At 39.7% G+C, this 27,985-nt stretch overlaps 1 protein-coding gene and 1 long non-coding RNA gene across 26 annotated transcripts in view; one reads left to right on the top strand and one right to left on the bottom strand.

Annotated features, from left to right (window-relative positions):
- Nucleotides 1–27,985, bottom strand: part of FTO (FTO alpha-ketoglutarate dependent dioxygenase) — a 417,979-nt gene that overhangs the window by 353,167 nt on the left and 36,827 nt on the right. The window lies entirely within an intron of this gene.
- On the top strand, nucleotides 48–27,223 carry LOC124903691 (uncharacterized). The gene is made up of 3 exons (XR_007065070.1): nucleotides 48–266; nucleotides 23,334–23,412; nucleotides 27,023–27,223. It is a non-coding gene; the product is annotated as an uncharacterized LOC124903691 (long non-coding RNA).

Raw genomic sequence — 27,985 nt, 5'->3', positions numbered from 1 at the left:
TTTGACATGGACAAGACACTTGAGATCATAAAAAAGCAGCAGCCTCACCAAGCAGGCCACAAATCTAGATTAAATGCATATTTCAGATGACTCATAAACCACCCCCAAAATGACTCTGTGCTCATAAGCTAAACAGAGGCCATTTCTCCACTTACAAAGCTGCCTATCCATCCCACCAAGGTCCTGCTACACGGAGTTGCCCCTTTGTGCATCAAAAGGGAAATTTAAAAGAAGCATTAGATCCCCCGGCATCATCTTCTACTCGGGTAAGAAATATCTATTCCATCCCCTACCTCAAAAAAAGCCACAACCCCACCCCTTAGTTTTGTCTCCCTGGAGGCCGAATTGACCAGCAGTCATGTTTCCGAATCAAATGATATTTACACATTCTGTGCCAGGCACTGTACTAGGAATGTTAACATTTATTATCTCTTTTAACTGCAAAGGATTTAAAACCTGAGCTCTATCTGGCAGCTAACCAAAAAGACAGGCAGATGTGCAAATGGTCAAAATTCATATGGCTCCTTTTGAGTGTAACCATATGAAGGATCAAAGGATGTCAGGTACCTAGACCATTTTAGAAAAGACATAAAACAAGCTGTGCTATGGCAAATGTGGAAGGAAATCCCAAATGTTTGGAGACATCAATCAGTCACTAAGCATCTACTTAAATATCATACTTGTGCCCAGGCCTGTGCTAGGTAATGTAAAAGGAGTTTGCAGTTAACAACAGGCTAAAGCAGCTAACAGTAGTTAACATAAATTGAGCATCTACTATGTGTCAGGCATTATATTATGCACCTTAGCCTATATTAACTCACTGAATCCTCACATCAACCCCATGAACAATCCAGCCAGAATTAGACATGGGAGAAAAATATATTAATCTTATTACAATAGAAAGTCAAAATGTTTTATATGAAACAGTTATTTTTAGATGATTTCTGGGAACTCTTTCTATACTTCAGGCCGGTGAATAATATATTCCTTGATTGTTATTAAATTTGACTGAAGATATCTTCAGAATCTGATCTATAAATGATATAAAACCTGACCTGCAAGTTGAATGCATCATATCACAATAATCACAAGAAATTTACTCTCTTTGATATAACATTAAAATTGAAGAGTCCCATGGGCTTAATAATGACACCTTGAAAAGAGGTACCTTCCCCTGTTTAAAAAAAAAATTCATAAAGCCAGGCTCCAAAGTAAAAAAGTAAAAATAAAAAAGTCAGATTATAGTATTTTATTTATTTTTTATTTTTTTTATTATACTTTAAGTTTTAGGGTACATGTGCACAACGTGCAGGTTAGTTACATATGTATACATGTGCCATGCTGGTGTGCTGCACCCATTAACTCGTCATTTAACATTAGATTATAGTATTTTAATAGGAAATTTCACAGCAGAAAATTCATGAAATCTACTGCTACTAATAAGAAAATAATTCTAAACAGTGTCAAAATTAGTCTTCACATTTACTAAGAACAAAAACATTAGGTTCCCATCTTTAAGGTCAGATTAAGGTGATGGGTTGGATTGAGCCATCCATCAGGTTAAATAAATGCTTCTGGACAGTGCGTAGACTAAACAGGGCTAAGGATTCCTAAGAAAAACACCACTTATAACAGTGGAGGTCAGCACAGAGGCCTGGCCCAGTGGGGAGATGCCCTGTAGCTGCAGGTCTGGGAGACTACCCTACAAATTCTCATCAGACACTTAATCAATATCATGCCTTAGGACCTGAACTGCTACTATAAAATCAATATTACCTTTATTTTAAGTAGCAGGAGGAACAATGAGATTATCTTGTTCCTTACAAGTCTGCCATGGAAAATCTGGCTCATGGTGTGTGTCATCTCCTGCTTTTGCCTGGAAGGAACGCGTTTGTTGGGCTTAGAGACAGTCTGGCGATGCAACCCAGAGACCGGAAAAGGTGAAGGAAAAACACTCCAGTTCAGGGAAGCTGAGGCCTAAAACTTCATTACAACCTAAAGAACAACAATGATTCATGAAAAGAAGAGTTCTAAGGCTTTAACCCATCACCTATATAGTGGATGACTCCCCAGATTTCTATCTCTGGCCCTGACCTTCGGATTCCCTCTCCACAACAGCCTCTTTGATGGTCCCTTGGGTGCTGAACAGACACCAGTCATGTGACTGTCCAAAGGGATAGCACCTGATTCACCCCAGACCTGCTTCGTCCTCAGTTTTCTTATCTCAGTAAATGGTCACAATCTAGTTGCTCAGGCCAGGGCAGAGGCTCACACCTGTAATCCCAGCACTTTGGAGCACTGAAATGGGTAAATCACTTGAGCCCAGGAGTTGGAGACCAGCCTGGGCAATGCAGTGAGGCATCTTCACGGATAACGAAAAAATTAGCCAGGAGTAGTGATGTACGCCTGTAGTCACAGCTACTCAGGAGACTAAGGTGAGAGGATCGCTGAAGCCTGGGAGGTCAAGGCTGCAGTGAGCCACGATCGCGCCACTGCACTCCGGCCTGGGCAACAGAGTGAGACCCCATCTCCAAAAAGAAACAACAAGCAAACAAAACCAATCTAGTTACTCAAGCTAAAAGCCTGGAAATTTTCCTTGATTGTTCTTTTCTTTCAAACTTCTTATGCTGTCTAAAAGTAAATCCTGGCAGCTTTGCCTACAAAATGTATCTTAAATCCTTCCCCTTCAGTCTATCTGCACAGTCACCAACTGGGCCAAGCCATCAGAACATTCCTTTCCCAATATTTCTCCCTAATTCTACTCTGGCCTTCCAATATTCCTCACGCAGAGCCACAGTGATCTTTATAGAAATCAAATCAGAGTAAGTCACTCCACACACACGCTCCCTACCTTAAAACACTCCAGTGATTTCCAATGGGACTTGGAATAAAATCGAAATCTACCGCAGTCTAAAGTCCCTACCCTCATGATCTGGCCTCATTCCTTTGCCCTTTCGTTTCCTTCTCTTTAAGTTCTGGCCACTGACCACCTCTGTTCCTTCTACATGCTAAGCTCTTTAGCACCTCAGAGCTTTGTCTCTGAGGCTGAAATGTATGCCCTTGTCATCCTTTGGAGTTCACATCAAAGGTGACCTCAGACCACTGTATCTAAAGCAGTCCCCTCCCCTCAGTCATTAACACAACATACTGTTTATCACTATTAGACATGGCCTTATTTACGACCTTAAATATGTTTACTTTCTTTTTTTTTTTTTTTGAGACGGAGTTTCGCTCTTGTTGCCCAGGCTGGAGTGCAATGGCGTGATCTCTCGGCTCACTGCAACCTCTGCCTCCCAGGATCAAGCGATTCTCCTGCTTCAGCCTCCCGAGTAGCTGGGATTACAGGCACCTGCCACCACCCCCAGCTAATTTTTGTATTTTTAGTAGACCGGGTTTCACCATATTGCCCAGGCTGGTCTCGAACTCCTGACCTCAGGTGATCCACCTGCCTTGGCCTTCCAAAGTGCTAGGATTACAGGCATGAGCCACCATGCCCAGCCACTGTTTACTTATTTACTAGCATTCTTCCTCTAATAGAATATTAATCTCCATGAGAAGAGGGACTCTCGTCTGTTACTACTGAATCCCCAGAGTACAGTACAGCCCTGAGCATATATAAGCCTCAGTTAAAATCTGCAAAATGAACATGCGGGAAGCAACTGGAAATCTCATATTGGTACCCATCATGCTAAAAGTAATAGCAATGTATTCTCCATCGAAGTATTACGATCAGAGGTAGAATTTAACAACAGACAGGTTGGGCATGGTGGCTCATGCCTGTAATCCCAGCACTTTGGGAGGCCGAAGCGGGCAGATCATTTGAGGTCAGGAAATCGAGACCAGCCTGGCCAACATGGTGAAACCCTGTCTCTACTAAAAATACAAAAATTAGCCAGGCATGGTGACATGCGCCTGTAATCCCAGCTATTCGGGAGGCTGAGGCACAAGAATTGCTTGAACCCTGGAGGCAGAGGTTGCAGTGAACCAAGATCATGCCACTGTACTCCAGCCTGGGCTACAGTGAAACTGTGTCTCAAAAAAAAATTTAAAAAAAAAGAACAGACCAATTTTTATTTGCCCTATATTGGATCAAACATTTCTAACATTTTGCATTTTTTAAAAGAGAGATGTTCAAGTAGACAAGAAGAATAAATTCTCAAGTTCGCACATGCTCTCAACTCCAATTTTGAGAAGCAGATAATGACAGTGGAAGTTCAGATGATGTGTCCCAACACCAATATCACATTTGCCTCTACAAGTCAGTTAATTCAGCCCCTCTTTTCTTTTTTTTTTTTTTTTGTATTTTTAGTAGAGATGGGGTTTCACCATGTTAGCCAGGATGGTTTTGATCTCCTGACCTAGTGATCCGCCCGCCTCGGCCTCCCAAAGTGCTGGGATTACAGGCATGAGCCACCGCGCCCAGCCACACCCTCTTTTCTTTATCTGTCCATCTGTCCAGCCACACTCTCCCATCACTACACACTCACTTCTCACCTTCTCACATGGTTATCCACAGGCCTCGAATACCCTTCTTCTAGTTCACTGACTCATTCCTTCCATCAATCAAGAGTTTCTACAAGTCTCACCTCCTAGATAAAGCCTTTTTGGTTTAGCTGAAAAGGAAGGAGAAAGGAGCTAATATTCATTGAGTGCCTCCCACACTCTGGGTGCCGTGCTGAATGCTTACAAGCTTTAACAAATCTGCGAAGTAAATCATCATGAGCCCCATTTTGAGAGAAAAAATTGAGTCTTAGGTTCAGGACTTGCTGGAAGTGAAAGAACTAAGTGGCAAAGACAGGATTTAAATCCACATCACATCACTCACTCAAAAATCCCGATTCTTTCCAGGGCATCGCTTTGGTAACAAAAATAATAAACATACAAATAAAATCTTGCCCCTGCTGTTTCAACTGGGTACACCCTTTCACAAATAGATCTATGTCACATTTCACTAATACTGGGTCCTTAGACTAAAAATTTCTTTGTATGCAATGGGTTCCTACATTACAAATAATAAAGCCTTTATAAAATTCCCTCATTTGCAATCTACAGACAAAACATTACAGTTGCAAAGGAGAGTCTCACTACAGTTTCCCTTCCAACATTACTACCTTGACTTTATAAGTGACAGAAACTTGCCAATTTAGGTCACTATAATCATAGGGTCAATGTAATCATGCGTTAGTTTAGCATAATACATAGCAAACATCCAGGGTACTCAAAGGAGACTAAAGCCTCTAAAACCAGATGATCCCCTTGAAAGGCCAATGTCTATGGTCAATCTGAGCCTCCTTATTAATACATAATTTGATTCTTTCTTCCACAACTAGAAAGCAAAAAACAGACATACTACATTAAAATATCTCCCAAACACAATCTGCGGGTTTTTAAAATAAACCACGAGTAAAATTAAATTCAATAAAGCACATCATTGTCAACCTTTATTTATCATCAACAATAATTACTTTTAATAATGTTAGATGACACCATGAAATCTTAAAAGGTTCATCCTTATTTAAAAAAATGGATATATAAAATACTGGGCACAGGGGCAAAACAAATTGGTTGGCACATTTGTTTTAGCCCCTTTCTATGCTGTAAGATATTAGACACTCTCTATCTATATTAGCCGGGATAAACATCTTCCAAACCTTTCCTAAATAATTAGACACTTCTTCCTTTATGTTAATTTTCTCTGTGGATCATTATTAAAGAAATCACAAGTCACTTTAAAATAGCATCCCATGAAAAAATAAATAAATTGCATCTTCTGTTTAAAAGTAAGATCGTATCAGGCTATATTCAGTTCTTTACTCTTCAAATCTCTATTTATTACAGATAATAAAATGACAGCTTTTGAGGCATGGTAAATCATGAGATATTGATTAAATTAAAACTTTAAACTTGTAGTGGCAAGAAATCACTTCAGATATCTTCAGTTTCTGTTAAGGACTGATTAAAACTTGACTCTTAGTAAGGTTCCTGTCTACAAAAGGAGCCTTGCTTTTGTGATAAGATAATGCAAACAACAAAATATCACCAAATCAATATTCATCATTTCTTTATTTTCCTTTTCCTTTCTTCCTTTCTTTCTCTCATTCTCTTTCTGTTTTGCTTTTAAGATCATAGAGTGGTGAGTTGTATGGCATCAGGTTCAACCCAAAAGGATAAAAACCCACACTCTCCTCCCCACCCTCGCATGCTCTATGGGTGTAAATATTTCATGGTATTACCATCATTCACTCGGTGCTTATATTGTCTGATCAAGCCTCTATTTCTGTCTGTTAGATACTCTGGAGGATAACGTTTTTTCATGTCTGCTGCTCAGTCACATAAAGCCCTTGCTTCTCAAAGGTTCTTCAAAGTTCAATAATTTATTAAACACTGTGCTGGGGTCAGTAAGCACTCACAGAAATGCATAACTACAGAATATGTGGGACTATTAAAGGGTTTCTTTAATAAAAAGGATGACTTTAGAGAAAATGACAGTATTGTTATTTATACAAGAGAGGCATACTCTGAACAATTGTAGCTATCCTGTGCTGAAAGGCAAGAGCTGAAAATAAACAGGAGTGCCTGTTTACCGGTAAAACATTAAGCAAATCCACTGTGAAACAGGCTATCTACAGAAAACTGATTCAGAACTCAAGTTCCAGATTTCCCAACCTCAGTATAATGACTAGTCAGGTTTCCATTCCTTCTCTTTCTAAATATAATAGAACATTTGCAATTTCAGTAAAATACCCTTGAAGCTATAAACCAATGACATTTTTAACTTATCAGTATTACCCCCAAAGTCTACTTGTTACATTTATTCCTTCCCACTAATCTCTGAGCAACAGGCTGAGAAGGCATTAAAAGAATCACATATAACACATATAAAAATAAAGTAATACAAATTTGAGTAGTATACTTTGATCAGCAAAGTATTTATTCAATTCATATCCATAAGGAGCCGTAAGGTAATCAATGAGCAGACTAAGATATCTCCCTAGGTTCACAGAGACTCCATAATCTAGTTGGGTGAAAAGCACACATCCAGTGCTTAGATTAAGACCCAAAACAGTAGAGAATTCTTTGCTAAACTGAGCAGGAGTCTCCCAGGGCCACAGTATTTCAGAGAAAGTAGAAACAAACCAATTTCCGTGAGGATAGTCAAAGGAGACTTTAAGAAGGAGGAAATTATTTTCTCCATATTAAATTTTGTTTTCTTACGTTGATTTTCAAATAAACCTCAGGAAAAGAAACTCTGACATACAAATTAATGATTAACACAACAAATTAACTTCCATTCTAACATGGTGGATTCAAAACATGCACTTGGCTCCTTCCCAAAACCTCACTGGAACGCCTGTAAAGAAATTAAAACAATATACTGGGTGCAGTGGTTCACACCTGCAATCCCAGCACTTTGGGAGGCCAAGGTGGGAGAATCTCTTGAGCCCAGGAGTTGGAAACAAGCCTGGGAAACATAATAAGGTGCCATCTCTACAAAACTGAAAAAAAAAAAATGAGCTGGGTGTGGTGGTGTGCGCCTGATGTCCCAGTTACTTGGGAAGCTGAGGCAGGAGGATCCCTTCAGCCCAGGAGTTTTATGCTGCAGTGAGCTATGATTGTGCCACTGCACACCAGACTGGGCAACAGAGCAAGACCCTGTCTCCAGAAAAAAAGAAAAGAAAGAAAAGGAAGAAAAGGAACCGAGGAAGGAAGAAAGGAAGGGAGGGAGGGAGGAAGGGAGAAGGAAAGGGAAAGGGAAAGAAAGGAAAGAAAAGAAAAGAAAAAAGAAAAGGAGACAACAATAACAACAATAAAAATAAATCGTCAAAGTCAATGTGAAAGATAAGAGCAGATGAGGCGCAGTGGCTCACGCCTGTAATCCCAGCACTTTGGGAGGCCAAGGCAGGTGGATCACTTGAGGTCAGGAGTTTCAGACCAGCCTGGCCAACATGGTGAAACCCTGTCTCTACTAAAAATACAAAAACTAGCTGGGCATAGCGGTGCATACCTGTAATCCTAGCTATTTGGGAGGCTGAGGCAGGAGAATCGCTTGAACCTGGGAGGCGGAGGTTGCAGTGAGCTGAGATCATGCCACTACACTCCAGTCTGGGCAACAGAGCCAGACTCAGTCTCAGGAAAAAAAAAAAAAAAAAAAAGAAAGCAAGCAGATGAGAGATGTTAAAAGATGAAAAAGGAATGGCAAGTAATGTAACAGCAAAACCTGAATCCTAAAGCCAGGTGTGGTGGCTCACGCCTGTAATCCCAGTACTTTGGGAGGCCAGTGCGGGCAGACGGCTTGAGTCCAGGAGTTTGAGACCAACCTGGGCAACATGGCAAAACCCCATCCCTACAAAAAATACAAAAATCAGCTGGGCATGGTGGTACATACCTGTAGTCCCAGCTATTTGGGAGGCTGAGGCAGGAGGATTTTGAACCTCAGAGGTCAAGGCTGCAGTGACCCAAGATCGCACCACTGCACCAGCCTGGGTGACAAAGTGAGACCCTGTCTCCAAAAAACACACACACACACACACACACACACACACACACACACACACACACACACACACACCAAAGCTGAAGACTAACTGGTAGACAGGATTGAGGGAGAAAAGGGGAAGACCAATAAGAAGTGAGCTCCCATGCCACCATCTACAGAAAGGCTCAGGAATACAATAACCAGGAACTTCTGAAGGAAGGTGCATTTCAACCATGAAGCTGAAAACAGGAAGACTAGTTGGAAGTCAAGAGCAGAGGTTAGACCCTAGATTCTTTCTCTCAATCCCAACAGCCAGGCAACCACCACATCCCTGACCAAGCAAAAGATGAGTTTAACTATCTGAAGCATTGGCCCAAGGAAACCCTGGATCCTAGACCAGCTCAGGATGCAAATGAGAGCTCTTAGAATCTTCTCTTTTCCTCTGGGGTTAGGAAATTTCATGATAAAATGCCATAGTGGGATCATTTTTCATCTGTTGTGCTGGGCGGTCACTGGGCTCTTTTGATCTGGAAACTCATGTCTTTTAGGTCAAGGAAATGACCCTGTATTATTTCTTTTTTCTTTTTTTTTTTTTTTTTTTTTTTGAGAAGGAGTCTTTTTCGGTCACCCAGGCTGGAGTGCAGTGGCACGATCTCGGCTCACTGCAGCCTCCACCTCCTGGGTTCAAGTGATTCTCCTGCCTCAGCCTCCCAAGCAGCTGGGATTACAGGTGCCCACCACCATGCCCAGCTAATTTTTGTACTTTTAATAGAGATGGGGTTTTGCCATGTTGGCCAGGCTGGTCTCGAACTCTTGACCTCAGCTGATCCTCCTGCCTGGGCCTCCCAAAGTGCTGGGATTACAGGCATGAGCCACTGTGCCCAGCCTGTATTATTTCTTTGATAATCTCTTTCCTTCTGATATTTTGGTTCTCATTCTGTAACTCCCAGAGTTAAATACTGGACCACCTGGACTGATCCTCTAATTTCATATTTTTCCTTTCTTATTTTCCATTGCTTTGTTTTGGGCTAATTTCTGGACAAATGTCTTCAACTGTATTTTCTAATACTTCTGTTGAAAATTTAATTTCTGCTATCATATTTTCAATTTGCAAGCTCTTTCTTGCTTTCTAAATGATCCTTTCTTTAAGGTTGTATAATGGAAAATTTCAAACACACAAAAGTACAAATAATAATATAATGAACCCCTATGCGCCCATTACGCAGCATGCTTCAACAATTACCAACATTTTGCCAATCTCATTTTATCTATCTCCCACACGACTCTATCCTTTTTTCTGAATTATTTCAAATCACATCCCAGACATCACAATATTCAAATTGTAATTATTTAGCATAAATCTCTAATAACTAAGGACAACTTTTTTTTAAATGTATAAGATTTTTAAAAATGTATAACAATACATTATCACAACTAACAAAATTAACAGTGTGAAGGTTCCTTTTTATTAGCATCTTGTTCCTGTTTCGTGTATTTTCTCTCATCTCTCTGGGAATATTAATTATAATTTGTTTTGAAATTGTTTTCTGCTCTCCACATTTTCCTGTTCCTCTGGGTTCCTTTTCTTCTGTTTCTGTGCTCTGTATTTTGTCATTCCTATTTGAGGCATTCCTGGATGTTCAATGATCTTTGCCCATCAGTTCATAATTTCCAGTGAGGGAATATGAAACAGATCAGAAGCTGAATGTGCAGAAGCTTAGTTTGTCAACTGGTGGGCCTCACTACAGAGCGATATGATGGAAACCTGGCCGTCTTTTAAGATATCTCCAAATGTCAACCTATATATTTTTTATTGGGCTGGTCAGCTTCCCTGAAGAGGAATCCTCATGTATCCTTCCCTGGTTACAATGGTTACATAACCTCCCCAAACAACAGAGGTCACAAAAGGCAGGCCCTCTATTCCTTCCAGCCTGTAGATATGGTCTATTTGGACTACACAGGTTTTAAATTTCAATTAGTCGATGGCTTATTAAAATAAAGAGATTTCAAATAAAAATCTAGATGTCCTGCTTCTTTTGAAAAGTCAGAATATTTGCAACACTGGGCTGACATTCACACACTGAACCAGAGTCCCTTTAGGCAGCATATGTACTTCTTACTTCACCACTAGCACCACCAGTCCCTGCTGTCTCCTCTAGACTGAGAGTTTCAGCTTTCATTAATCATCTTACACCTATCTGGCAGGTGGGCAAAGCTTAAGACTAATGTTGTATAATGAGATGTGACTGTACAAAAGGAAAACGTCCTTGATTATGCCTTTGATTAATTTTATTTTTTGTTATCCTAAAGAAAGGCTGAATACTCCAACGGAACAGTCAGCTAAAGCAAAATACACCCAGCACTCTGCAACAACAGACTGGTAAAACCCTGTATGTTTCACACCCCAGAAAACAGATAGCACTCAACATCTAAGCACCCTTACCACAACTGTTTGAGCTCTTCTCAAAGAGTCATATGCCAGTTTTCAGCTGCATAAGATGGACAGAGAGAGAAAGAAAGAAAAAGAGATTGAAATTTATCCTTTGAATTCCCATAGGGACAGAAAATTACCAAAAATACCTTTCCTCCACCAAATCAGGTAAATCATAACGCTTTAGAGGTGTAAAGATGGACATAGTTCTGAAATCATAGACTTATAAAAGCCCCAGTGGCTCTTTTCTTAGATAATATACTTGGGCATTTTATATATGCACATATTATATATATAAATATAGGTATTATGTATTCATATATACACACATATTATATATAAATATAGGTATTATGTATTCATATATACACACATATTATATACAGTATGTATTCATATATGAATATATTCAGATATTTATGTGGATGACATGGCCAAGCTTAGCAAACACAGCAAGGAAATCCCTACCAGTTTCTAAAGACAGTTTAGACATGTTCAAATGATTGTTAAAACACAAAATGATCAGCCATAAATATGTTCAGTGATGTTCAAGAGATCTCTTGTACAACATGGTGACTACAGTTAATAACAATGTATTATATACTTGAAAATTGCTAAGAAAGTAGATTTTAAGTGTTCTCACCACAAAAAAGTATGTGAGATAATGCATATGTTAATTAGGTTGATCTAGCCATTCTACAATGTATACATGTCAAAATATCATAGTATATACCATAAATACATAAAATTTTTGTCGTATTTTTAAAAATATTTTTTTAAAAAGGTCCAGTGGCAACATTTTTTAAACTGGTTGAAAACACAGACTTCACTCAGTTTCAGATTTAAAAGTCATCACCGTGACTCCTGGCTATACACCTATTAGCTAAAAACAACAACGCTACAAAACTTGCTTTCAGATTAACAGGCCTGTCATTTATCCTTTAAATGTTTATCTCCTTTGGTCACAATTTTATTGTAGTTAAACAGCAACTAGTGTGTGACCAAAAGCATTCAAATGCTCTGAGTACACAAAGAGTGCACTGTTCTTTTTCCAGCTGAATGGACTTCTACTCATGTGAACAAAAGACAAGATCCTGCTATTCTTCAAATTAAAAGGCAAGAAACAGCAAGGAAAAACACTGCACAGAAAACCTCTCTCTTAGTTTACTATATAAATGCTAATGAGAACAGTGAACCAAACAGCTGCTTTTCTCTTTCAAAAGTTTTGAAAATCATGAAAAATAATTACGCATCTCTGCAACTCTTTTAAAAGGGTTGTGTTAAGAATCTTTTGTAACCCACTATAGCTATTGTAGTACATGTTATCTAATACACATAATGTTAGAGAAAAGATGACAACATGCAAACTTTATGGCCGGAAACCAAAGAGTCAGGCAAAATATAAACACTCTGATGCAAGGGGCCCAAAAGCACTGAATAGAGACTTGACATTTGAAATCTGAAATTTTAAAAAGCTTCCTATGGCCTTAACAAAGCAGGTGAAATCGAATCCCTAGGGCCTCTAATAATCTAAGAAAAGAAGCTGTTGCTGCCACCAACACTGGAAGGGAGTGAGAGCTCCCTGACCTATTACAGAAGGCCATGAAGACCAGTCCTCGTTATCATTTTCCTAAATGTGTTATTTTCCTTTCTAGCCTTCTTGTTAATCTCCCTCTCATATATCTCTCTTACTGAGATCTCTCTCATGTCTTTAGTTTTTAAATAAATTACTGCATGATCTTTTTGTAGGTTGTTTTAATTTAGAGGAGTTGAAAGAAGGGGAAAGGAACCTGTTTAAGTTTTGATATTAATACTTAGGAAGGGAAAAGGCAATCCAAGGGTTTGGCGTTTTCATCTTCTGCAAGTGTAGAAACAGTGTATTATCTAAGTTTAGATTTGCCTACAAGTGACAAAAAATCCAAAATAACAGTGGCTTAACCAGGCTGGGACAGTGGTTCTCCTGAAGTTCTCAGAGGCCCGGCCCCTTTTAGCCCATAAGGCTTGGGCTTCACCTTCAAGATCCAAGTCCAGCATGTACATTCCAGGCAGCGGGACAGAAGCAAGGGCCTAAGAAGCAAAGGGCAAAGGGCATACACCAGCTTTCTCTTAAAGAAACACCTCAGAGACTCCCATAGTACACCTTCTCTCAGTCACATGGCCACACCCCGTTGCAGGGGAGGCTGGGGAAATGCAATCTGCATTTTGGGCAGCAGTCCAGCCTGAAAAGTCCATGACTCAAAGAAGCAAGAAGGGATCTGTGCAGTCTCTACCACAAGGAGACTTCCAAGTTTTACGAAACTAGAAATGATTGATGATTTCATTCAAACAAATGGTCTTCAAAATAAGAAACTTCCAAGTGCTCCAAACTGAAGAGCCACCGAAATATATGGACTTGACAACAGAGTGTTTGAAGTACTCCCTGTAATCCCTCAAGTACACCTCAATGGACGGGATCAGACAGCTGAATATCCTCATGTTCTTTCTCCCTCAGGAGGGAGAGTCCTAGGCCTCTGACTCCCACAGACCTGGAGCATCTCCTCTGGGTCATGTCAACCGTCCAAGCTCTCCAGCCCTGCAGCCCAATCGCCTCCCATCATTAAGAAAGAGAGGCCTTTCACATCCAAGGGGCAAATCTCACATAAATGACATTTGGCTGGTGCCCAAAGGTGACAGGGATGAGAGCGGGATAAATAAAGAATAATGTGGAAGCCAGTTGGGGCAGCCTTTCATTACAGCCCTTTCAAGAGCTATTAATCTTGGTCATAGTCAGTCAGCTAAACATAATTACTTCTTCTAACACATGTTTTACACACAACTAGCAATGGTAACAGGTCAGCCCTTTTCCCTAGGAAACATGTGGCTTCTGGCTTGCCTATAGCGATGAGAAATGGTGTTTGTACAGTTGTCCTAGCACTGTCTGTCTTCTCTAATACCGTTATCAAAAGGAAGAATCACTATCAGCATATTGTCATACGATCTGTTAAGTTGCTACAGAAGTACCTGGAAGAACATGTAAAGACTATCAGAAATAATCTAAAAAAAGATTTGTTACTTCTTGGATAATCATGAAAGTAAATAAAATTTTAAATACCTCAGCGTCATCTCTTTCCAAAGTACTTCGTTGTTGAGGTATTTTCATGGAGTGTTGTTTGGTGCATTGTGTATCATGCCTTTCCTAACTCACCATTAATTTTCCCTTAAATTCAAGGTATCATGGAGCTTTTTTTTTTGAGACGAAGTCTCGCTCTGTCATCCAGGCTGGAGTGCAGTGGTGCGATCTCAGCTCACTGCAACTGCCACCTTCCGGGTTCAAGTGATTCTCCTGACTCAGCCTCCCGAATAGCTGGGATTATAGGCATCCGCCACCGTGCCCGGCCAATTTTTGCATTTTTAGTAGAGATGGGGTTTCGCCAGGTTGGCCAGACTGATCTTGAACTCCTAAGCTCAAGTAATCCACCCACCTTAGCCTCCCAAAGTGCTGGGATTACAGGCGTGAGCCACCGCGCCCAGCCTGGAGCTTTTACTTCAGTTCAGTTTATGGAAAAAGTTCTGGACCTGGAATTCTAAATTCCAAATTCAGCTCTGTAATTAAGTAGCTTTGTAATCTTGAAGAAGCCAATAAACTCTCTGGGCCTCAGTGTGCTTCAGCTGTGCTATAGGACGGCCTGACTCAAAAATGCCATACCATTCATGACAGCTTTAACAGTACAAATGGATGGGTTTACATCATTTAATAAGAAGCCATCTAAATTTACAAAATTTGTAAATAGGGCCTAGCTAAAAGAGGGATCATAAAAGGGCTAACTGTGGGGCTTCTATAAGTCATGAACACCTCCAAACCCCGTTCTCTAACGATACAGGCAAGATATAAAAATTAAATGGAGACGTCAATTGTATAAAGCAAAGTGCCATCTAATGCAAATGAAAAAGTGCAGTGGGAGCTGCCTCTGGCTGTGGGTCAGAAGGTAGAAAACGCAGCACCCCTGAGCAGCCAGTTCTCCTGCAGCTAGAAAGAAAGCGTGGAAATCCTAGCTTCATGTGATAGGACAAAGCTTCAGATGTGGGGAGAAGGGAAGCAGCTTCTACAATCCCACACTTCCCAGCTGAGGAAATGGTGCAAGAGGGCCCAATGAGCTCTTTGTCAGAGATAGCTAAATGATGGTAGTAGATGCTATGTTAAATACTGCAAACACCAACAGCTCATGTCTCAAGGTGGCAGTCTTACTGAGTGAATGTGGGGGCAGGCTAGAGGATTTGCAATAATTAGGAAGGACACGAGCCACAAGTGGCACCAAATAATAAAAAGCAGGAGTTATAAATTATGGGTCCTCCTAGGGCCAGGAAAACTTCCAGCAAATATTTTGTAAGTTACATGAAGTTAGTGTTATAAGACAAGCAATGCAGATGCAAAACTTGGAAGAATTTCTTCCAATTATGCCAACAACAGCAAAAAAAAAAAAAGTGTAAGTTCCTAGAGGAGCAGCTATAAATCCTATAACATTTTCATATTTTAATCATGTTTATTGGGCTGGATCAAATAAATGCCCACACTGAAAACCCATCCCTGGTTTTTCTGGTTTTGCATTTTGTTTTGTTTTGTTTTTTTTTTTTTTTTGAGACAGGGTCTCTCTCTGTTGCCCATGCTGGAATGCAGTGATGCGATCACGGCTCACTGCAACCTCAACTCCCTAGGCTCAGGTGATCCTCCCACCTCAGCCTCCTGAGTAGCTGGGACTACATGTGCACGCCATCATGCACAGCAAATATTTTGTAGAGACAAGGTTTCACCATGTTGCCCAGGCTGGTCTCAAACTCCTGGGCTCAAGTGATCCACTTGCCTCAGCCTCCCAAAGTGCTGGAACTACAGGCATGAGCCACCTATTCCTATCCCTAACCCTGTTTTTTTTTAAAGCCCTCAACGAAGGATTCTTTAAAAAAAAAAAAAAAGGCAGTCATATCTGACTATGTAAATTGTACACCCTTTATACCTTAGGGGGAATGGGTTTACTTTTTATTATAACTATAAAGTTCATTTATCATTTCAGAGGAGACATTAAAATAATTGTGGGCAGTGTGATATTGACCCTTGCAAGCCACATTCTTGCCCTGCAGATACACTGCTGCCACACAGCTGGGTTAGAAGACAGTGTTAAAATTACAGTGGAACCACATAATTGCTGCATCATTAGTGGTTGGAGGGTGAATTGAAGGGATGAGTCTTAAGACAAATTATTCCATATGGATTGAAAAGAAGTATGCAAAAAGATATGCAAGATTGATTGCTGAGATATAGTCTAGGAGTCAACTTTTTTAATTTTAAAGATAATATTTGAACACTACCCTTTTGAATTAAGATTTCCTCAAAATGAAATTGATTTATATTCAAATCCCCTTTGACCCTACTTACGTGACTGGATGGCTATACCATATTTGGTTTATCCATTCATCAGCTGGTGGACATTTGCATTGGTTCCACTTTTTAATTATGAATAATGCTTCCATGAAAAGAAAGTATAATTTTTTTTTAAAGTGCAACCCTGCAATAGGCTGTCCCTCTCCTATTACTAGATCAGCCCAATCTTTGCCTCCCAAAGAGGTAGCCACTGTTGAATCTTTACAACATATTCTGTCTATATGCAAGCATTTTACACAAATAGTAACAGTATTCTACACCTTGTTCTTTTAATTGTCTTGAAGACAGTTTCATCTTCACTAGCTTCATCTCCCTTAATGTATTTAAACTGTTCCCTACTGATGGATACTTAGATTGCTCGTGTTCTGCCACTACAAATAATGCCACAATGAATATTCTTATACATATGTCTTTGTGCCCATGTGCCAGTACAAAAAATGGAGCAAATTCATGTAAGTAGAACATAGCTGGGTCAAAGAGGATTTGACTATAAGTCAATTTTGTTTTTAGAAGATCTTACTTCAAGAAGGTAAAATGTAAGCGATTCAAATCCTGACTGCAGCTTGAATCAGAGAGAAAAATAACCAGCAACATCACTAGGAAATAGGCAATCCACTGCATCATTATTTTTGTTAGTATCTTTGAGATGTAATTCACGTAACATAAAATTCACCAACTTATAGTATATGATTCAATGGTTTTTAGTATATCCACAGAGTTGTTCAACAATCACCATATTCTAAGTTTAGAACTTTGTTATCACTCCAAAAAGAAACCCCTGCACCGATCAGCCCTCACTCCTGATTCTCACCCCACCCCTGGGCAATCACTCACCTACTTCCCATCTTCATAGATTTGCCTGTTATAGACATTTTATATAAATGGAACCATATAATATTAGTCTTCCATATCTGGCTTTCACTTAGAATAATGTTTTCAACATTAGTCCATGGTGTAGCATGTGCCAATACTTCATTCTTTTTAAATTTTTTTTTTTGAGATGGAGTCTCGCTCTGTAGCCCAGGCTGGAGTGCAGTGGCATGATCTCAGCTCACTGCAAGCTTCGCCTCCCGGGTTCATGCCATTCTCCTGCCTCAGCCTCCCAAATAGCTGGGACTACAGGCACCGGCCACCACGCCCGGCTAATTTTTTGTATTTTTAGTAGAGACGGGGTTTCACCGTGTTAGCCAGGATGGTAAATTTTTTTTTAATAGAGAGAGGGTCTCACTATGTTGCCTGGGCTGGTCTCGAACTCCTGAGCTCAAGTGATCTCTCGCCTTGGCCTCCCAAAGTGCTGGGATTACAGGTGTGAGCCACCACTCCTGACCAGTGTTAGTGTATTTTATGTGTGGCCCAGGACAATTCTTCCATTGTGGCCCAGGGAAGCCAAAAGATTGGACACATCTGTTTTAAAACCTTCCTTTTATTTGAAGATGAATATGAAAATTAAATAAACGTCCATACTTAGGTTTAAACAAACCAGGAATGTCACCACCCACAAGCACAGAGGAAGAACAGTTCTATTTCTTTAGACCTACAACCTTCGTAATTTGTTTTTGGTTTTCATCCTCTAAACTGTCTTCCATATTGCCCATGTTCTGTGTGCAATTCAATCAAGTAAAATTGCTGTGATCTTCTACTGTGTTGCCATGTACCATGCTAGACTGAAAGACACAGAGATTAATAAAAGCAATGAGTTCCCAATTCTCCAGGAACTCACATTTTGGTTAAGTGTGATCCTTTTTGATAATAGTTTGTAGAGATGGTAAGCAAACTTACCAAGGTCAGCAAACTTCTTCTGTAAAGGACTAACTAGTAACATTTCAGGCTTTGCAGGCCACATATGGCCCCTATTAAATATTCTTCTTCTTCTTTGTTTTTCTTTATAATCTTTTAAAAATTTAAAAGCCATTATTGGCCGAGCACAGTGGCTCATGCCTGTAATCCCAGCACTTTGGGAGGCCAAGGAGGGCAGATGACCTGAGGTCAGGAGTTTGAGAACAGCCTGACCAACATGGCAAAACCCCATCTCTACTAAAAATACAAAAAATTCGCCAGGTGTGGTGGCGTGCACCTGTAATCCCAGTTACTCAGGAGGCTGAGGCAGGAGAATTGCTTGAACCTGGGAGGCAGAGGTTGCAGTGAGCCAAGATCGCACCACTGCACTCCAGCCTGGGAAACAGAGTGAGACTCTGCCTCAAAAAAAAAAGAAAAGAAAAGAAAAAGAAAAAGAAAAAAGCCATTCTTAGCTCAAGGGCCAGACTTTGATATAAGTTATAAGCAAAGAGAAAAATTACAGGTTCATAATCTTACCAATTAAACATGCCAAATGCAATTTAAAATTCATTAATATCAGTTATGATAGCCTCAATTCAACTCTGTCTCTTCTTACTACTTATTCTTTTACTTCCATGACTCTGTTTTCACCAATGTTATTTCTTGCACAGATTCTTTGATAACTGATGAAACAAACTCTCTTTCTGCCCCTAAATTAGATCTGCCATTTGATTCCCAATTGAAATTACATTCTACATGAAGGACAAAAACCAGATGGTCATCTCATTAGATGCAGAAAAAGCATTTGAGAGAATTCAATATCCTCTCATGATAAAAACACTCAATACCTTAGGTATAAAAGGAATGTGCCTCAACACAATAAAGGCCATACATAAGCCCACAGCTACCATTATACTCAATGGTAAAGAATTAAAATCTTGGCCGGGCGCAGTGGCTCACGCTTGTGATCCCAGCACTTTGGGAGGCCGAGGCGGGCGGATCACGAGGTCAGGAGATCGAGACCATCCTGGCTAACACGGTGAAACCCCGTCTCTACTAAAAATACAAAAAAATTGGCCGGGCGTGATGGCGGGCGCCTGTAGTCCCAGCTACTCGGGAGGCTGAGGCAGGAGAATGGCATGAACCCGGGAGGCGGAGCTTGCAGTGACCCGAGATTGCGCCACTGCACTCCCGCGTGGGCCACAGAGCGAAGACTTCGTCTCAAAAAAAAAAAAAAGAAAAAAAGAATTAAAATCTTTTCCTCCAAGATTCAGAATAAGACAAAGATACCCACTCTTGCCACTTCTATTCAGTACAGAAGTGGAATATAGTATTAGAGTATTGCCAGAGCAATCAGGCAAGAAAAAGAGAAAAAAAGCATCCAAATAGGAAAGGAAGAAGTAAAACTATTGCTGTTTGCTGATGATATGCTCTTACACTACATATTAAAAACCCTACAAATTCCACCAAAATACTGTTAGAACTAATAAATGAATACAATTAAGCTGCAGGATACAAAATCAACACACAAAAATCAGTAGTCTTTCTATATGCTAACAGTGAACTATATAAAAAAGAAATCAAGAAAACAATCCCATTTAAAATAGCTACAAGGCTGGGCACGGTGGCTCATGCCTGTAATCCCAGCACTTTGGGAAGCCGAGGCGGGTGGATCACCTGAGGTCAGGAGTTTGAGACCAGCCTGGCCCACATGGTGAAACCTCGTCTCTACTAAAAATACAAAAAAGTTGGCCGGGCACGGTGGCATGTACCTGTAGTCCCAGCTACTGGGGAGGCTGAGGCTGGAGAATTGCTGGAACTCAGGAGACGGAGGTTGCAGTAAGCTGAAATCGCACCACTGCACTCCAGCCTGGGCAACAGAGCAAGAATCCGTTTCAAAAAAATAAAATAAAATAATAAAATAAAATAGCTACAGGCCAGGCACAGTGGCTCACACCTGTAATCCCAGCCAAGGTGGGTGGATCACCTGACGTCAGGAGTTCAAGACCAGCCTGGCCAACATGGCGATACCCTGTCTGTACTAAATATACAAAAAATTAGCCAGGCATGGTGGTGCACACCTGTAGGCCCAGCTACTCAGGAGGCTGAGGCACGAGAATTGCTTGAACCTAGGAGGTGGAAGCTGCAGTGAGCCAAGATCACATCACTGCACTCCTGCCTGGGTGACAGAGAAAGACTCTGTCTCTAAATAAATAAATAAATAAAATAGCTATAAAAAATAGTTCTATGAAGAGTGAGTTGTGAAAAAATAATACTTAGGAATAAATTTAATACCAAGGAGGTAAAAGACCTATACACTGAAAACAATAAAACATTAATGAAAGATACTGAAGATGATACAACTAAGTAAATGATATCCCATGTCATAGACTAGAAGAATTAATATTGTTAAAATGTCCATACTACCCAAAGCAATCTACACATTCAATTCAATCCCTATCAACATTCCAATGTCATTTTTCATACAAATAGAAAATATAATCCTAAAATTCATATGGAACCACACACACAAGAAAAAACCCTGAATATCCAAGATAATCATGCACAAAAAGAACAAAGCTGGAGGCATCACACTACCTTATTTCCAACCATATTACAAAGCAATAGTAATTAAAACAGCATGGTACTAGTGAAAAATGGGCTCATCAACCAATGAACAGAATAGAGCCCAGAAATGAACCCATGCATGTATGTGGGTTTGACAAACGTGCCAAGTATATACTTTGGGGAAAGGACAGTCACTTCAATAAACGGTGTTGAGAAAACTGGATATCCATATGCAAAAGAATAAAATTGAACCCTTATCTCACACCATATACTAAAATCAACTCAAATGGACTACAGACTTAAACATAAGACCTGAAACTACAAAACTACTAGAAGACAACATAGTAGATAAACTACAGGACATTCGTCTGAGCAATTATTTTTATATCTGACCCCTAAAAACAAAGGCAACAAAAGCAAAATAGACAAATGGGATTACATCAAAATAAAAAGCTTCTGCACAAGAAAGGAAACAATTAAAAAAGTGAAGAGACAACCTACAGATTGGGAGAAAACATTTATAAGCTATACATCTGATTAATATCTAAACTCAAATACCTCTACATTAAAAATTTAATAACCCAGTTAAAAAATGGGGAAGGTACCTGAATAGACATTTCTCAAAAGAAGACAAATGGCCACCAGATACATGAAAAAAATGCTCAACATTACTAATCATTAAAGAAATGCAAATTAAAACCACAATGAGATATCCCCTCACACCAGCCAGAAGGACTACTGTCAAAGAGATAAAAATAAGTTTTAGTGAGGATGTTGAGAAAAGGGAACCCCTGCAATCTGTTGGTGGGAATGTGAATCAGTACAGCAATTATGGAGTTCTCAAAAAAACTAACAATAGAATTACCATATGATCCAGCAATTTCACTTCTGGATATTTACCCAGGATACTTGAAATTGGTATGTCAAAGAGATGTCTGCACTCCCATGTTCACTGCAGCACTATGCACTATTCAACTTATGGAATCAACCAAAGTGTTCATCAACAGATGAATGGACAAAGAAAATGTGACATATATACACAGCCCGTAAATACCACTCAGCCTTTAAAAAGAAAGAAATTTTGTCATTTGCAGCAACATTGGATGGAATGAGAGAACATTATGCTAAGTGAAATAAGCCAGGTACAGAAGGACAAATACTGCATATTCTCACTTACATGTGGAATCAAAAACAACTGAACTCAAAGAAGCAAAGAATAGAATGGTGGGTACCCAAGGCTAGGAGTGTTAGAAGATTGGGGAGATGATGGCCAAAAGGTACAAAGCCTCAATTAGACAGGAGGAGTAAGTTTGGGAGGTTTTTTCTACTTTAGATATACTGCAGTGTGATGAATATAGTAAATAATAACATATTATATATTTCAAAATCACCAAGAGTTCATTTAAAATGTTCTAACCACAAAGGAATGGTAAGTATTTGACCTGATATATATGTTAATTATTCCACATTGTTTTCATAAATTATAACATCACTTTGCATCCCATAATATTTACAACTATGATTTGGCAATTTACAATAAAAAATGATTTAAAAAAAAGAAACTACATTCTCTAAAGCTGGCTAAATCATGTTGAATAACAAGCACACAGCTATTCCTGTACTAATCCCTCTATATTAGTGACAATGGTCCAGGCTACACTGTGGTAATAAATAAACCCCCAAATCTCAGGGACTTAATGCAACAAAGGTCTTTGTCTTGCTCAAGTTACCTGTCTAATATGTTGATGGGGGAAGGGAATGGACTCTACTCCACTCAGTCCTTCCTGGATCAGCCCAATGGAGACCCCACCATCTGAAACACAAGGCCCCCAAAGTCACTGTGGCAGGGAAAGGGAAAGAATGCAAGTGGCACACTAGCTCCTAATGTCTTGACCAGGAAATAATACCCATCACTTCCACGTCATTGGCTAGAACTAATCACATGATCCTACCTAACTGCAAGGAAGCTGGGAACTGTAATCTTCCAGTGTGCTCAGAGGAAGATTACACTCCTCTAGAGGAAAACTTAGGAGTTGCATAGAGAAAACTGAAATGGATACAGGCTGCCAGAAACAACCTCACCAAGGCTGAATGCACTCACTGACCTCAGGGTTATACATTATGCAGTATGATTGCTAAGGTATAAGTATATAACCACCCAAGCATAAATAAATCCACGTTCACCATCCTTAGATTGCCCAGGCTGGTAAAGCCAGGTCATACCACATTCCTGACTTCAGAGCAACAGAAATGAACAACGGCCACTTAGTCATATCTGGGATCACATTATAGGGCTTATCCTTTAAGCAGTTTCAAGATTAGTCAAATCTTAGGTTTATCCAAAGCAACGGAACCCTCACCCAACACCACAAATGGCAAATATGCATTTAAGTGCATACCTGAGAACATGATGAGAAAATGGTAACTGATCACTTTGACAAAAGACCCTGACCATCCTCCTCTGGGATCCTATGCCTCTCCTATACACCCTACACTTTCTAGTTTATTTGAGGACATTGCACATAAAAATCTATCTTATCTTTGTGGACATACAATGCTTTTAAGGTGCTCAATAAACATTTCTTTATATGAATGAAACAATGAAGGAACTGAACCAATGCAATCACAGTGGAGCTGAATTCTGTCATTTTTATTTCCTCTTCTGTTAGAGTCTCTTTCATAGCAACGTTCTGGGGCTAAAAAGCTGGGACAGAGAGAGCTGCATGTTTCCCAGAAGAATTGCAGAAGGTATGTGGAGTGGGTAGCCAAGTTGGGCTTTGGCTCGCAATGCCCCAAGGACACTGACAAATAGCCCAATAATAACTCATCTGAGTCTCAGAAGTCATTCCTTAGAGCCGCCCTATAAAAGCCAAAGGGAATTATTCATTAGCAAGTGTGAATAACACTAGATACCACCAGCAGATTGCATTTGGCTTTGCTGAATTATTCATAAGCATTTGTGAGAAATGTACAATCCAAAGGGTGTTAAACCAAACCAGATTGTTTGGCAATATTTGCTTTCCTTTAAAAATATCTTTTTAAATCACCTCCAAGCTACAGTTCTTATGTTGAAAATCAGTTACCAATCTGGCAAAACAAGTAGGTAAAGAGTAGAAAGCCAAATAAGAAAGGGATATCAGTGATCTTATTTAATATTTATCATGATAATGACAGGCAGTAGACTGAACCAATGTTTGTTTACCTGTCCACATCCTCCCTTTTTTAGATGTTGTATGGTCAAAGACGGTAGGAGCTCTACAATGAGATTCATATATGGGGGGGGGGAAGAAAAGTCCTTAGAGTCCTGTCACAGAGCAGATGCAAATTTAATTACTTCACGTTAAGCTTTCCATCTTGTCTAGGTGTCCTTGGAAAGCAACTGTAAACAAGAAGCACTCGGCAATCAGGTGTCAGGGGCTCATTTGATCAGCTACGAAATATGTCACAAATCACTGGCAGGAAGTGAGTCAGGAAGGGGAACAAAGAGGTAGAAGTGACAGTGTAGGAGGCAGATCTTGTGGGTGTACCTGTTAGTGCTGGGGACTGCTCCCACTGCCAGCTCTGACTTCCCAGAGTAAGTGCCCCCTGCCTGACAAGGCTCTCTCATCTCACATTTGTTATACATTTTCCTATGGTCTGCAGAAATCACCACCACAACTGGGGAGTCAACTAGAGATACTAAGCACAGTTAAATTATTCGTGACTAAAGAAAACCTAGCATGAGCCGATTTATTTTTTCAAGGCAACCAGAGAAATTTGGAAATTAATGCAGAATCTAAATTTGGGTAAAAGAGAACACATCAGTCAGCAGTCTCAAAGAAAACCCTAGGCCTAGGTGCCTTCCCATCTTTTTAGTGTGTCTCTAATTGAAGAAGAAGAATGTTCCATTCTATGAGCTCCGAGTCTGAACCTAAGCTGTCAAATGCCCTGCAGTTTCTATGATAATGGGTGCTGCATTTGTAGGCAAGAGAAAGGAAGTGATCCCTGAGTGTATACAATTTGTAATTCTGCAAAGAGCCTGTAGCCTTCCTGAAGGGAGCCCACTTCCAGCTACTGCTCACTTCTACAAGACGACTGGAGAAAATGATGTCTGTACTTGCAACCAAACTATGGTTCCAGAAGTACTTTCTACTGAATTATTTCATAGGAATTTTAAATATATTGACTTAAGTCAAAACTCTGCCCACAACTATAATGAATTAACAACTTCCAAACGGAGAGGAAAAAATCTGAAAGCAACCAAACTCTATTAAACTTGGAGCAAATTAACCTATCTCTCTAAGCTTCAATTGCCTCATCTCTAAAATCAGGGGGAAAAAAATGGTAACTAGGCAGGGTTCCTATGAGGATTATAGGAGATAATACATGTAAGTTAAAGCTTGTATTATTAAATTAAAGAATAGGGAAATTAATATTAATAGTGCAATCATTATCTGCGTAGTAACACAAGTATTCCCACGATAATAAGCTGTATTAAAAATTGTGCCTAAAATTATCTGCAAACATGTTACAATTATTTTATTACCTAACATACTAGATGAGGACAAAAGTTCTTTACCCCACTTTCCCACTTTTATAAGTGAGAAAGAGATATCAAAGACTCATCTGAGGCTCCAGGGACTAGATCTGTTACCTAAACATCAGCGTATGAGCACAGGAGGAACAGGAGTGGAAAGTAAAGGATGAAAAGGTAACTGCAATCATCAGAGTGCATGTCCCATTCATTTCAGATCTCCTTGTTGTCTAGGCTTCCTTATGTCCAATTTAGGTTCCTTCTAAGAGGTGGCACAGGACAAAGCCACAACCATCGACTGGGAGAAAGAACCAAAAGGAGCCACCTAGTGGCCAAGCAAGCTTTCATTCCGACCACAGTGAAGCTTCAAATCATGTTAACTTAAATCACTTTATAATCCAAGAAAATGTAGAAATATAATATTTTTGTAGCAAATGAAGGGGCATTTCAAATTTTAGGCTAACGAAAATTCAAGGCTTCTATAGATTGTTGAGAGCCTGACAGTGGAAAGGAGACAGGCAGCTGGAATTATACATACCTGGATTCACTTACTCATGGATAGAGTTATACACTCTAACCTTTTCCACATCATGGAGTGTGCAGAAAATTATATTTTTTAAGGCACACTGGAGTAATCAGAAGAGGCTGCCCAGAGTTAGAGATGAAGAGACCAGGGGCTCCAGTTACCCCTGTCCCCATCTGCCCATTCCAAGAACTAAAGGAACCAATATCTCCACAAACTATAACCCACTCAAGGCACACTAGTGGAAAGCGCTCCTTCAACAACCTAGTTAATCTTATTGGGCTTTCTTTTCTTTATCTATAAAGTGTGGCAAACAATACCCAGTTAGGTTTATGATGAAGATTAACTCAGATACTGCATGTAAATAAAATGCCTGGTACATACTATGCACCCAATCAATGTATTTTTTTCTTCCTTTTATGCTACTTCTTTTAGTATCAACACATAGGGATCCTGTTTTGTCACAAGCTAATTTACAAAGCTATATTATGTGATTTTAAGTAACAGCAATAATCATAGCTCCTGTTTAACTGAGTGAATATTATAAGCCAGACCAGTGCTGGATTGCCTCACTGAACCTTTATAACCACCTTAGAAGGCAGGGATAGTAGATACCTTCTGTTGTCCACCCAGTGTCTATTATCGAAATTTTTCTTATCAACAAAATCCTGATTTTGACCTGGGCAACAATGTGTCACCAAAAAAAACTTGCCTTCCCAGACTTTCTTGCAGCTAGGGGTGGCCATATGGCATAGTTCTAATTGAAAAACTGGAAGGGCTGGTATTGACCCTTCCTGCCAGGCCAATGCCTGAAGGTCTACCCACCACATTTAAATGAAACCACATAGTAAAGCAGCCTCCAAGAAGACCCTCAATAATCCCTGCCTCCTGATATTCCCACCCTCCTGGAATTCCTCCCCTTCAGTATAGGCTGGACCTAGAAATTCACTTCTAACAAACAGAATACCGCAGAAGTTATGGAATATTACTTCCCAGAGTAGGTTACAAAAAGTCTGTAACCTACCCCCCACTCTCCCCAGATACTCTGGGAGAAACTAACAAACATGTTGTGAGCTGCCCTATGGAGACAGAAACGTGGCAAGGAATTGATTCTCCAGCCAACAGCCAGTATGGGTCTGTCACTTCCCAAAACCTACATGAGTGAGCTTGGAATCAGATCCCCTCCACCCCAGTCAAGTCTTGAAATAAGCGATTTCCCAGCCAACAGCTTTGTGAGACCCTGAGCCAGAGACAACTAGCTAAGCTGTATCTGGACTCATGACCCATAGAAATTGTAAGGTAATTAATATTTGTCGTTTCAGATTGCTAAGACTTGTGGTAACTTGATACACAACAATAACAGAGTTTAGTCACCCTCTCTCTATGAAATTGCATGCTGAGAATGGCAGAAGAGGACACTGGAAAGATCCTGGTTCCTCAATGACCTTCTTGGGCAGCTTGACCACTACCTAGGTCATGATTCAGATTATGTGAAAAAAATAAAGTTTTATTTCATTAAACAATTAAAATCAATTTTAATTCATATAGTAAGTACTACTACTACTACTATTATTATTACTGTTCCTAGGTAACATCTAATGGGTTTGTACAATACAAATAAAAGAGCAACAGAGTGGTTCACAGATTATAATCCAATGGAATAAACAAACAATGCAATAGAAGTTACTTGTAAACACTATTCAGCAAAAAGGGTAAATTACAAAAGCACATAGAATAACCTCATTGTTTCAAAATGTAAACACACACACGCAAATGCACAGAAAAAGTCTTGAAGGGTATAGACCAAGGGTCAGCAGATTTTTTTTCTATAAAGGTCCAGATAGTAATAATGAACACGTCAGGCTTTGAAGGCCTATAACTAACTACTAAACCTGCCATTTTAGCATGAAAGCAGTCTAGATAATATGTAAATGAATGAGCATGGCTATGTTTCAATAAAACTTTATTTGGGGAAACAATTTTAAATTTCATATCAATTTTCTCATGTGACAAAATGTTACTGTTACTTTAATGTTTTTCAACTATTCAAAAATGTAAATACCATTCTCAGCTCAAGGTCGATTAAAAAACAAGTGGCAGGCCAGATGTGGCCCACAGACAATAGTTTGCTGACCCCTGTTACAGGCCAAAATGTCCGGAGTGATTATGTTGTTTGGAAAGTAAAATTAAGGTTGACTTTTACTTTCTTCTTTAAACCTTTCAGCCTTGTCTTAATTTATGGTTATGTATTTTATTATTAGAATATACAGTAAAGTTGTATTCAT

The sequence above is a fragment of the Homo sapiens genome, chromosome 16 (genome assembly GCF_000001405.40).
Source record: "Homo sapiens chromosome 16, GRCh38.p14 Primary Assembly".
Taxonomy (NCBI): Eukaryota; Metazoa; Chordata; class Mammalia; order Primates; family Hominidae; genus Homo; species Homo sapiens.
Note: the sequence above shows the minus strand (reverse complement) of the source record. Positions and strands in the feature narration are given on the sequence as shown.